Source organism: Homo sapiens, chromosome 10 (assembly GCF_000001405.40).
Source record: "Homo sapiens chromosome 10, GRCh38.p14 Primary Assembly".
Classification (NCBI taxonomy): Eukaryota; Metazoa; Chordata; class Mammalia; order Primates; family Hominidae; genus Homo; species Homo sapiens.
The window spans coordinates 101,887,856-101,904,604 of NC_000010.11; the positions used below are offsets into that span (position 1 = coordinate 101,887,856).

Consider the following 16,749-nt stretch of genomic DNA (forward strand, 5'->3'; position numbering starts at 1 on the left):
TCATCATTTCATTTAACTTTGAAAGAAGTTGGAGGAGGCTGAGGACACGTGCTTGCTAATCATCCTTTCACAGATTGCCTTGTGTGCCAGAAAGGATTTTTATTATTGGTCTGTGGCAGCTACTGCTGGAGAAAGATTTCAGCTTGACCTTCCCAAGCTGCTGGGGGATGAATACTGCACGTGGCTGACAGAGTAAATGTCTCCTTTTTTTTTTTTTTAAAAAAAAAAAAAAGCTTTTAGACTAACCAGAGCTCACTGTGGTAGGAAAGTCACCCCTTCTCTTACTGCATAAAACTCAAGATGTTGAATTATTTTGCATAAAAATGATATAGTAAAATTAATGTGAACTAGTCCAACAAGAAAATGGTAGCATCACAAAGCACCTCACAGACAGCACAGCATCAAAGAACAGGATTCAGGATAGCTCCACAGGCAGAGAGGAAAAAAGGAAATGAAGGCCATTTATAAAAGCAGTTTTAAATGTGAGGATGGATTCTCACAGCTGGGCTCACAAAAGAGAACAAATATGTCAAAGGGAACAACTGACAGACTAATAGAGTCCTATCCATCTGGCTGAGAAAAGAGCCACTGGTGGGAATACTGAGAAGCTTGTCTATTAGGAAAAAGGCTTGCTTGGTGCTTCACTGGGAGAACTGAATAGCTTTGAGGAACACTGAAACACATGGTCAAATCATAGCTGGCTGGCTGGCTCTGCCAGCAAGAAGCTCAAACAAGGGTTACAAAGATGCACTGGCAAAAAAGGAAGAACAGGGCACATATGGTCTTCCTACTGGCTTGGGGTCTATACCCTGGCCCCTCCAATTTGGGAGTAGGATGAAAAGGAAAGGGAACCATGTGAATAGGATGTCTTATTTAGTGCTTTTTAAAAAAGGACTCAAGAGTTTCATTTTGACACATCAAGTTCAATCCCATGCCACGCTAACGCCTCATCTGTACTTTTATATAATGCAGAGCTGAGTGCAGGCACTCTGGGAGAAGGGGAAATCAGGCCAGATTTAAAGAAAACAAAGACACAAGGCTATCTGCATCTCTAACTCAGTCCATACCACAGAAAAACCTCCTCAAAAATAATTGCTCAAGGCAAAGAGAACTCAATTACTAAGGAAAATCTGTCCCAATGAGGGCTCATGTTTTAACGAGCCAAATAGCTTCAAATTAAGCTGAACTCAGGGTTTTTCTAATTGGCAGTTTCATCCATTTCTAAGTTCTCATTTCTTATTTTCAAAAATCAAAATGACTCTCTGCCTAAAATTTTAAAAAAAGAAATGCCTTATCACACTCTAAAACAAATAATTCACCAGATTTTCACCTACATATCTTCTATATAATTAACAAACCCTTCAGATGGCACAAACGCAGACAGCATCACTCTGTATTAAAAGTACTATCAACCAACCCCACACTAATTCCTCTCAGCAGCCTGGCCCTGGTCACTACCACAAAAGCTCAGTCACAGAATCCCCCTGCCATCAGAGAGAAGGCAACTGCTTGATCCTAGCCACCAACTAGGTCATCTGGGGAAAGTAGTGGCTTACCTGCTCCTCTGACAGTTGGGATATGTGATTCACAGCAGCGTAGGACTCAATTTTGGGGTTAAAGTGGTTGATGATGGCTCTGAAACAAAGAATTCGTATTAATATGGTGCCAGATAGAAGAGGTGGATACATCTGTTAAAAAATAAGGATCAAGTACCCTCTGGTTTAGAGTACTAGAGCATGGGACCGATTGTGACTGGGTAACTTCCTCTTATTGAACATGAGGTAGTCACAAATGGGGGTGAATTGATAACTCTGAAGTGGGAAGGATTTACTATTAGACAGAAAATAGAATCAAGCATCTCTGCTCTGCAAATGAACTAACGGAAAAAACCCAAAGCCAAACAAAAATATTGAGTCCTTCAGATGAGAAAGGGAACCCAGAGGGCTGTCCACTAGGGGGCCCTGGTGCTTCAATCAGAAAGAAAAGCTGTCTTGTCTGACTTGGGAGAACAGGGCACTCAGTAAAGCTGGGCCAACAACATATAGGCTAAATAGAAGCAATCTTCATACTTGTTAGTAAATAGTTTCAAACCAAAATTTTATATCCGGCCATTCAACCCAAAAGCTGAGTGTCATTTTAAAACACTCCCTTCTCCATCACTTAGTCACATCCAAAATTACCTAGTCTTATCAAATCTACCTCTTAAAAATCTCTGAAATCTGAAATAAATTTCCCTGAAACCAGTGCCTTGGTATAGGTCTTTGTCATTTCTTGCCTGGTGTAGCAAAAAGAACACAGGTTTTAGATCAGGGTTTTACATGAGTCCATATGAATATAAATGATTCATAGAGAGAGACAAATCTCTTTTTTTCATATATATATATATATTTATTTATATTTATATTTTAGACAGGGTGTCACTCTGTTACCAAGTCTGGAATGCAGTGGCACAATCATGGCTCACTGCATCCTTAACCTCCCAGGCTCAAGCGATCCTCCCACCTAAGCCTCCCTAGCAGCTGGGACTACAGGCATGTGCCAGCATGCCCGGCTAATTATTTTTGTATTTTGTTGGTAGAAACACGGTTTTGCCATGTCGCCCAGGCTCAAGCCTGGGCTCAAGCAATCCACAGGTCTCCACCTCCCAAAGTGCTGGGATTATAGACATGAGCCACAGCGGCTGGCCAACAAATCTTTCTCATAGAACAATTTCAAATAATATATGTAGATACTTCTCCCTATAGGAAATGAAGTTTATTTCTCATTCCTGAGGGTGGGCTAGATTTAGTGATTTATTGCCAAAGACTAGAGTAGCAAATGGGAAACACAGTAACTTTATAGCAAAGAAGCCTGGTAAACACTACCTTAACCAAATGATGAAGCTGTAGATTGCCAGTGATATCATGTAGATACCATGTAACCCTTGGTATGATCTGATGAGAAGGGCACTTAATATCTCAATCTAATCACAAGAAAAATATCAGACAGGGGACATTCTACAGGATACCTGACTGGTATTTTTTTTTTTTTTTTTTTTGAGACAGGGTCTCACTTTGTCATCCAGGCTGGAGTGCAGTGGCACAAACATGGCTCACTACAGCCTCCATCTCCTTGGCTCAAGCAATCCTCCCACTTCAGCCTCCCAAGTAGCTGGGACTACAGGCATGTGCCACCATGTCTGGCTAATTTTTGTATTTTTTGTAGAGATGGGGTTTTGCCAGATTGCCCAGGCTGGTCTCAAACTCCTGAGCTCAGGCAGTCCTCCCTCCTCACCTCCTAAAATGCTGGGATTACAGGCATGAGCCATTGCTCCTGACGCTGACTGGTAGTTTCTTTCTTTCTTCCTTTTTTTTTTTTGAGACGGAGTTTTGCTCTTGTTGCCCAGGCTGGAGTGCAATGGTGCGATCTCAGCTCCCTGCAACCTCCACCTTCCGGGTTTAAGCAATTCTTCTGCCTCAGCTTCCCAAGAAGCTGGGATTACAGGCCCCCGCCACCATGACCAGCTAATTTTGTATTTTTAATAGAGATGGGGTTTCACCACATTGGCCAAGCTGTTCTCAAACTCCTGACCTTTCAGGTGATCCACTCACCTTGGTCTCCCAAAGTATTGGGATTACAGGTGTGAGCCACCGTGCCCAGCCAGTACTTTCTTAAGACTCTAAAAGTCATGAAAAACAAGAGTTGAGAAATTGTCACAAATCACTGGGGAGATATGACAATTAAATGCATATCCTGGAATGGACCCTGGCACAGCAAGAGGACATTAATGGAAAAACTGGTAAAATCTAATTAAAATACGGAATTTAGTTAATAATAATGCCAGTTACTTAGTGTTGATACATGTACCTTGGTGACATAAAATGACGGAAATTAGGCTGAGGGTATCCAGGAACTCTGTGGATTATCTTTTTACTTTTTCTATAAATCTAAAATTATTCCAAAACAGAAAGTTTATTAAAATGGGTAGTGTGGGCTAGGCGTGGTGGCTCACGCATGTAATTCCAGCACTTTGAGAGGCTAAGGTGAGCGGATCACTTGAGCCCAGGAGTTCAAGATCAGCCTGGGTAACATGGTGAAACCCTGTCTCTACAAAAAATACAAAAAAATTTAGCCAGGTGTGGTGGCACACACTTGTGGTCCCAGCTACTTGGGAGGCTGAGGTGGGAGGATCACTTAAGCCTGGGAGACAGAGGTTTCAGTGAGCCAAGATTGTGCCACTGCACTCCAGCCTGGGTGACATAGTGAAACCCTGTCTCCCCGCAAAAAACCCCACCCAAAATCAACAACAACAACAAAATGGGTGCGTGGGCTGGGTGCAGTGGCTCACAACTATAATCCCAGCACTTTGGGAGGCTAAGGTGGGCGGATTACTTGAACCCAGGAGTTCGAGACCAGCCTGAGCAACATGGTGAGACCTTGTCTCTACAAAATAAAAATAATAATAATAATAAGCCAGGGCCAGGTGTGGTGGCATTTGCCTGTAGTCTCAGCTACTTGGAAGGCTGAAGTGGGAGGATCACTTGAGCCCAGGGGGATGAGGCTGCAGTGAGTGGTGTTTGTGCTACCACGCTCCAGCCTGGGCAATATAACGAGACCTTCTCTCAAAAATAAAAAATAAAATGTGTGCACGTGTGTATGTGTGTTTGTGTGTGTGTATGTATGAGCTAGCATAACAAATCACTATTTTATAGCTTCTTGATAGTAAAGAATTATAGAACCATTTAATCTAATTCAGGTAATAAAAGTATAAACCAAAAACTTAAAAAAAAATACCAATCCCAGCACTTATCATAGTACCTGGGAATAGTCTATTGCAGCCATATAAGAAATATTTGTTGAAAGAGGGCTAAATCTTAGAGGGTACATTTGTAAAATTTATCTAACATAATATATAACATTTATAGTACATATAATAAAAACTTGGAAAAGCAACGCCAAACATCTAACCCAATGCCTGGTACACAGCTTGTGCTCAATAAATATTCAATAAGTGAATAAACCAAATACGACAGACATGAGTCAGGAGCAAGAAAAGAGTTCTGACAACTTATTTTTCCAGAAACTACCAAGAGAGCTGGAGATAATATCTGCAAGTTAAGGCTGAGGTTTGCTCTAATTCCAAAGTAGGAAAGAATTTTATGACCAAGTGGGGGTCAAACATTTTTCTCAATCAGAGAGCAAGGCTCAAGGATGTTGGCAGAGATGACCACAGCCCATAAGCAGAAAGGAAAACCAGGACCCTAAACCCAATGAGAAGGTAGGTGAAGCAAGTTTAGAGAACTGATAATCCCACTGATCCTAGCAGCAGCACCAATTTAAAGTTCACTCAGGGTGGAGTCTGAGTCATAGGGTTTAGTGTCCAGGACCAACACGATTGAAGGAAAGGAGCTTCAGTAGTCAAATCAATCTACCATTAGACCACAGGTATCTTCGAAAAAGATTTTGCACTCTGTAAATGCATCCACATTTTATGCTTTTTTAGGTTTTGTTTTTTGTTTTTTTAAATCAGGCTTTCCTTACATTTCTTAGGAAATTTTTTTTTTAAATTCCTGTCTCAACTGAACTAGAGGTTTTGTTCTTGTTTTTTATTATTATTATTATTTTATTCTTGCCTAGGTTTGGAGAATACAGAGGTCCAAGTACCCTAGCTTCTGTCTGGGTGGAATGTTAGCAGCCACCGGGGCAACCCAGTGGAGCTAGTGAGGTTGGAACAGTGAAATAATCCCTGGGAATGGAATTGCTGGGGATCTAATTCTCTTGCCTTTCTATCTGAGTAGTTCTTTCACAAGGAAACAAAGCAAGGACATAAGACAGGAAAAAAAAAGAGAGAGGAAGAAGAGAGGGAAGGGGAAAAGGAAAGAGGAAAGAAAGGGGAGGGGACTGGGAGGCAGGGAGGGAGGGAGTGAGGGAGAGAAAGGAAAACCTAGAAGGCATTACCTTCAAAATGTACACTTGTTTCCTTCCCTTCTCACCATTACACTTATCAGGTGTCAGCTGGCTCTATGGGTGACCTGTTCTTCATACTGCAGGACATACATGCTGATATTGTTTGGGCAAACTTATCCTGAGGGTATTTACCACTCTGGGAATATATATTTGGAATGAAGATAAAATCATCTTCCAACCTGCCCTGTGACAATCTCATCTCAGAACTTCAGATCTAAGCAGGTGATTAAGGTCTCCCACCAGGCAGGCTGAGAAACTGTTTAGAAACCTGAGTAAGGTGGAACAGTCTAGATTCAGTTAGTAGTCTCTAACTCAGTACCCACAAAGGCAGTATATGTGTCGGCCTTATGTTTTTTTTGCTGTTTCTTTGGGACTGTTATCTGCAAAATCTGAGTGCTAACCTAATGTCCTGGAGATGCCAGGTGGAGGGTATTCGCCCTAAGCAGTAAGAAAAATAGTCTAACACTGGCTCTTCTCTCTCCAGGCTCTTAGAAAGGAATTCCAGACAGGGCTTGGAGGCTTCCCATTAAAGTTCTTAGTACTTTGTACTAGTGAAATGGAAATATGTCCTGACATGGCACAGAAATGACAGAAGACTGGAACCAGGCTAAGCCAGACCAAGCTGAGTGACACACCTTTGCAGTAACTGAATTACGTCGCTTCTCCTTCCCCAGGAAGTCTGACGGCTACCAGGCTCACCTGGGTTGTGATTCCACACCATCCCACCTGGCCAAGGCGCTAGACTAGGACTCATGCTTGACTAGCTCTTGGCGGGAGAAAGATAAGGCACCACGTTTATAGATGAAGGAGGAATCTCTCCATTTTCTTTAGGCTTTCCTTCTCACTGATAGCACCTCCAAAAGGATTTACTACCATCTTTTCTGAACCTTTGGGGAGGGGGTTTCTGGGAGATTCTAACAGTACTTCTCTCTCACTTTTACTGGTCAAAACCTGACAGCTACTTGGGGGGCTGAGGCAGGAGAACTGCTTGAACCCAGGGGCCAGAGGTTGCAGTGAGCCAGAATCATGCCACTTCACTCCAGCCTGGGCAAAAGAGCGAAACTCTGCCAAAAAAAAAAAAAAAAAAGGCACCAGAGAGCTCTCTTGCTATCTGTCACATGACGACACAGTGAGAAGGCTGCCATCTCATAAGCCAGGAAGACAGCTCTCACCAGAAACTGACCCTGCTGGACTTTGATGTGGGACTTCTAGCCTCCAGAACTGTGAGAAAATACAGGAAGGTTTGAGTGGACAATGAATGAGAAAACATAGCCATTATGAAAAGATTAAGGTTTCCCTTCGACAAAGGTGGCAAGGCAATTAAATAGGGAAAAAATAGTCTTTTCAACAAATGGTACTGGGACAAGTAGTTATCCACATGCAAAAGAATGAAGTTAGATCCCTTCCTTATACCACACATAAAACAACTCGAAATGGATCACAGATCTAAATATAAGGTCTAAAAACGATAAAATTCTTTTTTTTTTTTTTTTTTCGAGAGGGCGTCTCGCTCTGTCGCCCAGGCTGCAGTGCAGTGGTGCAATCTTGGCTCACTGCAAGCTCCACCTCCCGGGTTCACGCCATTCTCCGGCATCAGCCTCCCGAGTAGCTGGGACTACAGGCGCCCGCCACCACGCCCGGCTAATTTTTTGTATTTTTAGTAGAGACGGGGTTTCACCATGTTAGCCAGGATAGTCTCAATCTCCTGACCTCATGATCCGCCTGCCTCAGCCTCCCAAAGTGTTGGGATTACAGGTGTGAGCCACTGCGCCCGGCCCTTAAAAACTGTAAAATTCTTAAAAGTAAATCTTCATGACTTGAGGTCAGGCAGTGATTTCTTAGATAAAACACCAAAAGCACAAATGAAAAAGAAAAAGTGGATCAATCTGAAGTTTAAACTGTGCTGCAAACAATGCCATCAAGAAAGTGAAAGGACAATCCACAGAATAAGAGAAAATATTTGCAAATTTTGTCTGATAAGAAACTTGTACCAGAATATATAAAGGACTCTTATAATTCAACAATAAATTACACACAAATAATACAATTTTTAAAAGAACAAATTATTTGAATAGACAAGAACAGATACTCAATATCATTAGTCATTAGGGAAATCCAAATCAAAACCACAATGAGATACCACTTCACACCCATTAGGATAGTGATAAAAAGAGAATAGCAAGGCTGGGCACAGTGACTCATGCCTGCAATCCCAGGAGTTCAAAACAAGTCTGGGCAACATGGGGAGACCCCCATCTCTACAAAATTACAAAAAAAAAATTAGCCGGGTATGGTGGCGTGTGCCGGTAGTCCCAGCTACTTGGGAGGCCAAGGTGGGCAGATCACTTGAGCCTAGGAGGCCGAGGCTGCAGTGAGCTAAGGTGGAGCCACTGCACTCCAGCCTAGGTGAGAGCACAGACCCTGTCTCAAAAACAAACAAACAAACAAACAAACAAACAAAACAATAACAAGTGTTGGCAAGGATGTGGAGAAGAACTCTCATACATTGCTGGTGGAAGTGTAAAATGGTACAGCTACTTCAATTTATAGGAAAGGTCCAGAATATGCAAATTTGTAGAAGCAGAAAGTAGATTCATGGTTGCTTAGGGCTACAAGGAGGGTTAGGGAAGAATAGGGAGTGACTGCTATTGGGTATAGGGTTTCTTTCAGGGGGAACACAATATTCTAAAGTTAGATTGTGATGATGGTTGTACAACCCTATGATTATACCAGAAAACATGAACTGTACACTTTAAGTGGATGAACTGTATCATATATAAATGATTATGGCCTCCTTGGCCCCAGCAGTTTTTGAGCAAGCTGCTTTCTCCAACCAGTTCCACACAGAATTAATGTGGTGATTCCCAGGGTGATTCACTCACCAAGAAAACTTTTCTAAAGCTTGCATATGTTAGCAATGCTGATGGCAGTAGGAAAAGGAGCTCACTGGGCCATGGACTATCCTATAAATTACAGAAGCTGGAGTTTCAGGAGCTTCTGGAGAGAGAGGGCTCTGTGGTGCAATACCACAAAAGGTGGCAGAGATGACGAGTGAGACTGGTGCTGAAGGGCACATGCTCAGGAAGGACTGACCCTACCTGGAGGTGAGAAGAGTCCAACTCATGGTAATATGTATGATATACTTAAGTCAAAAGTTCTGCATGTGGCAAAGGATGTCAACTTTTGGCTGCTGGAATAGGATGTTGAGGGGGGTGGCAGGGTTGGTGGATGAGAAGAAAGTTTCTCTTATTCTCAACATCCTTTACCAATTTATTTTTCCAGCAATAGTTGGAGTTGCCCACATTATTCAGGGAAACAGAATTGGGAAGAGGATTTAAAGAAATATGGGTAGTAATAAGGCCCAAGGAAGGGGAAAGGAGTTCTACCCACAGACAGAACTTAGTGGGAAAAGAGAATGTAATTTCTAACCAAACCTCTAGCTTCTCTGAAACTTGAACTAAAAGCTCCAAGACAGCAGGTACCAAATTTATTTTGCTCACCAATATTTTGTCCAGTTTCACTGTAAGTAGCTTTTGCTTCTGGAGATCCAGAATCACTAGCTATCCTCCCAAAGTATGAAAATAAAAATTAAAATGTTTTATCCTCATCCCAGGAAAAAAGGTGGCTCAGACATGAACAGCTGTCCTCCCAAAGAAGGAGCAAAAGTTGACACTGATGACAATAAAGCTTTTCTTCCTCTTAAGTCATATCAAGAGGCTAGAGGAAAGCTTTCTGGCATTCCTTTTTTAAGTAATCTAATACCTTCTAAAAGTAAGCCTAGGTTTTGTTTGTGTGTTTGTTTGAGGGTGGGGAGGATGAGGTGAGGTGTGGGGGAATGTGTTTTATTCTGATACGGGGCCTCTAAAGCCACTGAATTAGAAAGTCCCAAAGGGGAAGGAAAAATAAATAGACAACATCATAGTAAAGAGAAATTGCTAAAGCCAGCCACAGTGAGGGATGGCACTGTGCCCAATGCACCTTTAAGAGCAGGAATCTGGGCCACCCTCCAATGCAACTGTCAACTTCTGACTGCAGAAGATAGAGGTCACTTATACAGGCTGAAGCAAAATGAAGTGGATAGATGGAACAGTAAGGATGAACAGTAAACCGGCTGGGGATTTCTTGGTCCATTGTAAACTTATTCTCTCTGACTCATGACTCTGCAAAGCAGCTCTCTTTTCCCAAGTGCCGGGTGGTTGTTAACTGAGACACATAGTTAATGTCGAACTTGCATTAAAGATAAGCATGGAAATGTTCCTTTAACAATGTAGGCAATATAGCTTAAGAGAAAATGTGGACCAGGCACGGTGGCTCTCCCCTGTAATTCCAGCACTTTGCGAGGCTGAAGTGGGAGAAGTGCTTAGCTCAGGAGCACAAAAAAAAAAATTTTTTTTTTTTAAAATTAGCTGGGCATGGTGACATGTGCCTGTTGTAGTCCCAGCTACTCAGGAGGCTGAGATGGGAGGATGATTTGAGCCAGGGATGTCAAGGCTGCAGGGAACCATGATCACACCACTGCGCTCCCTAGCCTGGGTGACAGAGCAAGACCCAGTCTTAAGAAATAAAAAAAAAAGAAGAAGAAAAAGAAAATGTGGATTCCTCCTCATATCCAATATAAAGCTAAAGCAAATCCTCCAAAATGCAATCTCCCATGGACAGAAGCATCTACGAGTCTTTAATGAAACAATAAATAAATAGTTTCATTCAGAAGCTCAGAACATGGCGATTGTTTCATTACTGAGATACCTGAAGGAAGCAGGCTATCTCTAAAAGCTGCTATGTACATCTTTCAGGCAGAACAGGGAAAAACAAGCAAAAGTTGTTTTTGTAACTCTCATTCCAAGGAAGGAGGAAACATAACTGTTATACTCAATACGCGCACACGCGCACACACACACACACATATATGTATGTATATGAAGATTCTTGAAGGTTTCACCCTAAAACTACTCTTATAAGACTACCAGATTTACATTAACGAGTCTGATTGTGGGTGAATTTCTCAAGCTTAGTAAAAAATTTGGATCTTAAGCTCCAACCTCATTAAGAGCTGTAGCCCTGTATTTTCAAATGCTTACTAAATATTTACACCTGGATGTCTTGCTTTTGTTTACCTGGATCTCTTCACATAGAATGTTATCACCACTAAAAAGCCTAAGTCATCTTTTTCCTTGAAGGCCCAGTTAAAATACCATTGCTTCCCCGAACAACATGGTTCATACAGAAAACAGCAAGGCTTTAGAGAAAGGAGATTTGAAAAAATCTGGATTCCTCCACTTATTAACTGTGTGACTTTGGGCAAGAGACCAACCTCTCTGAGTAGTAGTTTCTTTGGTTGAATTTCACTTCCAAAACTTTCCTCTCTGTTTTCCTGTATACCATCTAACTAGCCCTAAGGAATTTTTTTTCCCCCAAGGCAGCTTCCCTTTTCCTAGACCAGTCCAGTGATATACTACTATGCAATATACTACAGAGTATGTTCTCAGGTATCTGAGATTAAAGACAAGAAAACCATCATATTCGTAATTGCTTTTACCTGGGAAACCTTCAGGCATACAGGTAAAATACTGGCTTTTGAGAAGGGGTAAAGGTATGACTGAGTGTATGTGGCAGTAGTTAAAATGGTTCATCTGAGGTTGAGTTATTTAATTTTAAACTAACATTTCTTTCACCTTCAGAATTGCCTCACAGACTCCCATTTCATGCAGTACTAAGCTTCCTTCTTCATGGAGTCAATGAATCTTCAGCCCACCCAAATCACCAACAACAAAAAAAGCAATTTCCCTTGATGCCTGTTAACAGAAGTGCATTACAAGCCTCAAAGACTCTGCTGATTAACATTAAACAAAATAAAACCTCAAGTAAGAATACCTTCTAACCTTTTCACTTTGAAACTATCTAATCAAAACATCAGCAACTGACCTGTTAGGATTATCCTTCTAACTTACCCCCTAAGGTTTAGGTCTTAACCCTTTCAGGACAATTATTTCCCTCCATAAATTATACTACTGTCCCTGTGGCCATTCTTTTCAGGACCAAAGACACAAAAATGGAACCTTAGTTAGTATAAAAGGCATTTTGACAACCAGCAAGAAGGATAAACTACTGACCAGTGCATCTAGTTGCTTACTTTACCCAATGATCCAATGTAAATGGAGAAGAATGAACCACAAGTGTTGAAAGAACCACAAAAGTCAAATGGACCATCTACATTTCCATAAAAGGCATCATCACTTAATCCATTCCCCTTATGTCTACTTTTTATTAAATCTTTCAATAAATGAAAAGAGGCTCCAAAACTTTCCTAAACATAAAACACCTATAAGATTATCCTATCGTTGCTCAGATCCATCACTCTGTGCTTCTGACTACCTTACTCTGTTCTCTAGTGGCAGGTCCGAAGTTACTGGCAGAGTTCCTGGGGCTACAGAATGAAAACCTCTAATAATCTTTGGAATTGGTTTTCCTATTTCCCTTTTCCTGGATTTCCTATTTCCAGAAGCAAGGCTCCTCTACACGCTCAGAAATGCCAAATGAATATAAAGGAACAAAATGGCCTATAAGAAAATGTGTATTAGATGTTCTGTCCCTTTTCAGAACATAAGAAAATCCTAACACATACCTAAGAGGAATTCTGAAGCACTGGAGATAAGCTCAAAACCCCCAAAACTGATCTAATTTTGATTAATGGTGAACATTCCAATCTCTTGAATATGAATTAAGAACTTTTTAAAAACTGGCATGAGACAAAAACCTGAAATATTTTAATTACACCTCATTCCCATTAGCCCAATTAATCAATTTATTATAAGACACTTAAATTTTAAGCATGGGAGAGCAAGAAAATGAGCAATTGACTAGTCTTCTTTTCCCGTCACTTCAAAAATAAAGGCGAATTGGCTGGTCACAGTGGCTTATGCCTGTAATCCCAACACTTTGGGACGCCCAGGTGGGAGAACTGCTTGAGGCCAGGAGTTCAAGAGCAGCTTGGGCAACATAGTGAGACCCCCATATCTACAAAAAATTTTTTTTAAATTAGCCAGCATAATGTGCACACCTATAGCCCTAGCCATTCATGAGGATGAGGCATGAGAATTGCTTGAACCCAGGAGTTTGAGGTTACAGTGAGCTGTGATCATGCCACTGTACTCCAGCCTGGGCAACAGAGCAAGACCCTGTCTCTAAAAATAAAGGGAAATTATTTTAGTGGATCACATGCTAGACTGAGGAAGGAGGGAAATATTCTGTGGATCCCATGCCAGTTAGAGAAAAAGAGGCATATGAATCCTAAACTAGACTAGATGAGCCATACATAATACCTCAGTGGTGGAGGAGGAGGATCTCATGTGCACAAAGGAGGAAGAAACCTGTCAAGATTTCCCAGTGGTCCAGTGTGGGCCATATGGATTCCATACTAGATAGCAGTGGTCCTGATGTTCACATACAGGAGAGATGAGAGGGTGGGCCATATGGATCACGTACTGGTTTTCAAGTACTCCAGGAAAAGAATGAAATTAAAAGACACGGAAACAGGCTTATACTCCATCCCAGGGGGACCTTTTAGAACTCCTCAGGAAAGGCAATCAGCAAGTCTGCCAAAGTAATTAAGCAAACGAACATTTACCATAAAGCCCACATCAGTTAAGTGAACAAAGATGAATCTTATTACAGTGCACTGTCAGCTCTGAGCCTGCAGGTGCTAACCACTGAGACGTGGCGTTACTCGGCCCTAGCTGCTCACCCACCCACTGTGACAGAGAGCTTCGCCCTTCTCGTCAGCTCTGAAAAAGCAGGCTGCTTTCACCTGCTCCAGCACTGACTTATGTTGCTTTCAGACAGACCCTCACAGAGATGGCTTCCTATAAGAAGCCTGGGTGTGGATACTGTGGCAGGTGGTAGGGTTGGCTACAGAAGGGAGGCTTGAGAGGTAGAGAGGATGGGAGAAAGCAGGGGGGCTGGGTAGCAGTTATGTCAGTGAGGTAAAGAAAATGGGATAGTTTGGTAAATCAAGAAGTAAATAAAGAATAAACAAGCTGCCCAAAGTATTGAACCGTTCTGCCTAAGTGAAGTTGATAGTCTCTCTGAAAAGGGAAGAAGTTAAAACTTCATTGCAAAATAGTTTCTCCTCAAGGAAAGAAATATTACTAGGGAACATCGCTTTTCTAATGTTAATGGCAGCCTCAACATCAGCTTTATTAATGAGTTAGCACCAAAGCTAACAGGGTCAGATTTGTTGAGACCTAATCAGTATCTATTATTTAACAAAATCCACTGCTTGCTAGAATAAATGAATACTTATCAATTATCCTAAGATTTACAAATGGCACTTGAAGCACCTTTTGGCCCTATTTCTTTCTGCAAATAATTTTGAGAGTCAAAATGAAAGCCCCAAATTGACCAAATGCCAACCAACTACATCAGAGACCCAGAAAGCTTTTATTCAACAGAAACTCTCACAAGGGGAAGGCTGTTAAGAGTAGCTGTGAGACAAATTCAAAAAATCATATAACTAGTTTAAAAAGCCAAAGACCATATGTCTATTACTCAGAGGAACAGATATGAATAGACAGAAGTAGGTAAGGTCCCTGTGTCCAGAAACCGATACATCTCTAACTTATTATGGAGAAGAAATCCTAAAGACATTGCTGGGAGACAGATACAACCAACCAACTGAAGAAATGTCACTTGTGGCACTTCTGGGCTGGGCTTGTGACAGAAAATGATGTTGGAGGTCTCACAGCAGATGCACGCACAGGCACTCATACGTGCGCACTTCTCTTCAGGTCTAGAACAAGAGCAAACAAAGAGCTGTGGTAGAAAGTGATTTGCAACCTTACTTTCTACCACAGCTCTTTGTCTGCAACAGGGCCTGCAGTTTCCTTACATTCAAAGGCAGCGGGAGGTGGGAAAAGGAGGGGAAACTAGATGACTGCTACTCAGAACCAAGCAGCGCTGCCCAGGAGAGGACTTAATGGGAGGATAAATTTGGGGCCTGATTCTTTGACGGCACCTCCAGTAATAGCTAGTAAAGCAGGGGGTGAGAGCCAGCTCCAAACATTCATCATAATAGTGCAACAAGATGAAGGTCTTTAGGGGAGAGTCGATGAGATTCCAGAGTAAGAAAATGAAGCCCATGCGGAGGGTGAGGCGGTTGGCTCTGGCAGATTGTCTCCACAGGAGGCTGGTATAATTGTTTTATGCTCACAAAGAGGTTATTAGCTGCCATCTCTTCAATATACCAGAAAGAGCAGTAAGTTTTCTTCCTCCTGAAAGGTGACGCTACCAAAAGGAGAAATTTAGTTTTAAAGTAATTAAAGAACTTTGTTTATGCTATAAGCACTGTTTTAGAAACAGAACTTCTATATTTTCTCCTCTCTTACTCTGCAAATTGACTGCTTTCTCATATAGTCAAGGAATCTCTGTCCCTAGAAGGAAGTTCTACAGTATCTGAAGCTAAAGGTTTGCCAGCACTGCCAGTGACTCTTGATAATTCAGTTTGTTTGACAAACATATGAATACCTATCATGTGCAGGCACTACGCTAGGCAATGAAGGTTGTGAATAAAATAAATCCCAGAGATCAAGGAGTTCATAAATGGAAAAGACACACACGACAGACAGATAATTTCATTATGATGTGGTAAAGGCTAAGGCAGACAAAGAGTAGACAAAAGGTATCATGGAAGCACAGAGGAGGGGTGCTTAGCCCAACCTGCAGGCTTAGAAAGGACATTCTGAAGGACAGGGTGCTTGAGCAGAGTCTCAAAATATGAATTAGTTTATAATTAGGCAAGGAAAGGTGAGAATGTGTGGGCACATTTTCTTACAGGGAAGGAGACTGATACCGAACTTTTACTAAATCAAACAAAAGAAACCTTACTAGTTAAAAATTAGGTTCATGCCTTCAACAAATAGTCAAATTTTTCCAGTAAACTAAAGATAAAAGTTATAGCTTCCTTTCCCAGTGTCTCATTTTAAATATTTTCCATCTAAGGGGAAGCAGGACAACTTTTGTGAAAGCCACAAGACCTCTGCCTGTTGGGGTCCTGTTTACACCTGTTTGCTCAGTACTGACTCAAAGATGCTCATGGAGACAGGCCAGGGCAGGTTCTCTACCTCTTCTCCCCTAAACTAACTGTAAACACAAAGCAGTTTTCTAAGTTGGAGGCAGGTCTTTCAGGCTCCCATGGGAGTAGATGGATCTCAGCTGTGCCGTGCCCGCCCTCTGCGGCTGTCAGTCTCCAGCTGGTGATGCAGCTGTTCCACTTAAAGCCACACTGAAGCCTCCAGTCTCTGATCTCCACCAAACCACACTGACGACACTAAATGGCTTGGCTTTGCAGCTGCCTGTTATAAGAGTGTCCTTGGTTCTCTTTTGGCTTATAAGATTAATAATATACATTTGGGAAGGTCCTCAGTGAGAAACACAGAAGAGAACCTTTAATGCCACGAAGAGCCTGAGCAAACACCTTACCGCCAAGAGCAGTAAGGCGTCCAAACACCTACACCAGTGGCATGTGAAACAGCCCCAGAACACACACACATTCCCTCAGCAGGGCCTCTAGCTTACATAAATGACAGCAACACAGCACTCAGCCAGTGAGGAGTTTTTTTTAAGGCAGCCTTAAAATCCCTTATAATTCAGTGAATCTGCAAAGATAAAAATAGCACTAATTACTTTGACTTGTTACTTAAAAAAAGAAAGAAAAACAATGCATAATGCTATCAATAATTTACTTCAAAGTGGCTTTAGTTGTCTCAAAGCCCCATTTTGGATAATTAAAGCCTTTCGGCCGTCTTCCTG

The 16,749-nt window shown here is 41.7% G+C and overlaps 1 protein-coding gene across 18 annotated transcripts in view, besides 2 other annotated features; it reads right to left on the reverse strand.

The window, feature by feature from the left end:
• The window catches only part of ARMH3 (armadillo like helical domain containing 3), a 210,575-nt gene that overhangs the window by 42,257 nt on the left and 151,569 nt on the right, over positions 1-16,749 (reverse strand). For 17 of the 18 annotated variants that reach the window (XM_047425735.1, XM_011540157.3, XM_011540154.3 and 14 more), the window contains one exon: positions 1,557-1,635. In XM_047425735.1, the coding sequence (XP_047281691.1) occupies positions 1,557-1,635 (79 nt within the window). Of the gene's footprint in view, positions 1-1,556; positions 1,636-16,515; positions 16,596-16,749 lie in introns of those variants that run through there. The other variant, XR_001747199.2, reaches the window with a different exon arrangement.
• Positions 14,452-14,611: an enhancer, noted in NCBI's record as "active region_3918". NCBI's record gives its function as "activates an Ori minimal core promoter by ATAC-STARR-seq in GM12878 lymphoblastoid cells {active_cell/tissue: GM12878}" and the evidence as "EXISTENCE:reporter gene assay evidence [ECO:0000049][PMID:35858748]".
• Positions 14,611-15,274: an enhancer, noted in NCBI's record as "OCT4-NANOG hESC enhancer chr10:103662223-103662886 (GRCh37/hg19 assembly coordinates)". NCBI's record gives its function as "activates a minimal SCP1, AML or CMV promoter by ChIP-STARR-seq in naive H9 embryonic stem cells {active_cell/tissue: H9 hESC(naive)}" and the evidence as "EXISTENCE:reporter gene assay evidence [ECO:0000049][PMID:30033119]".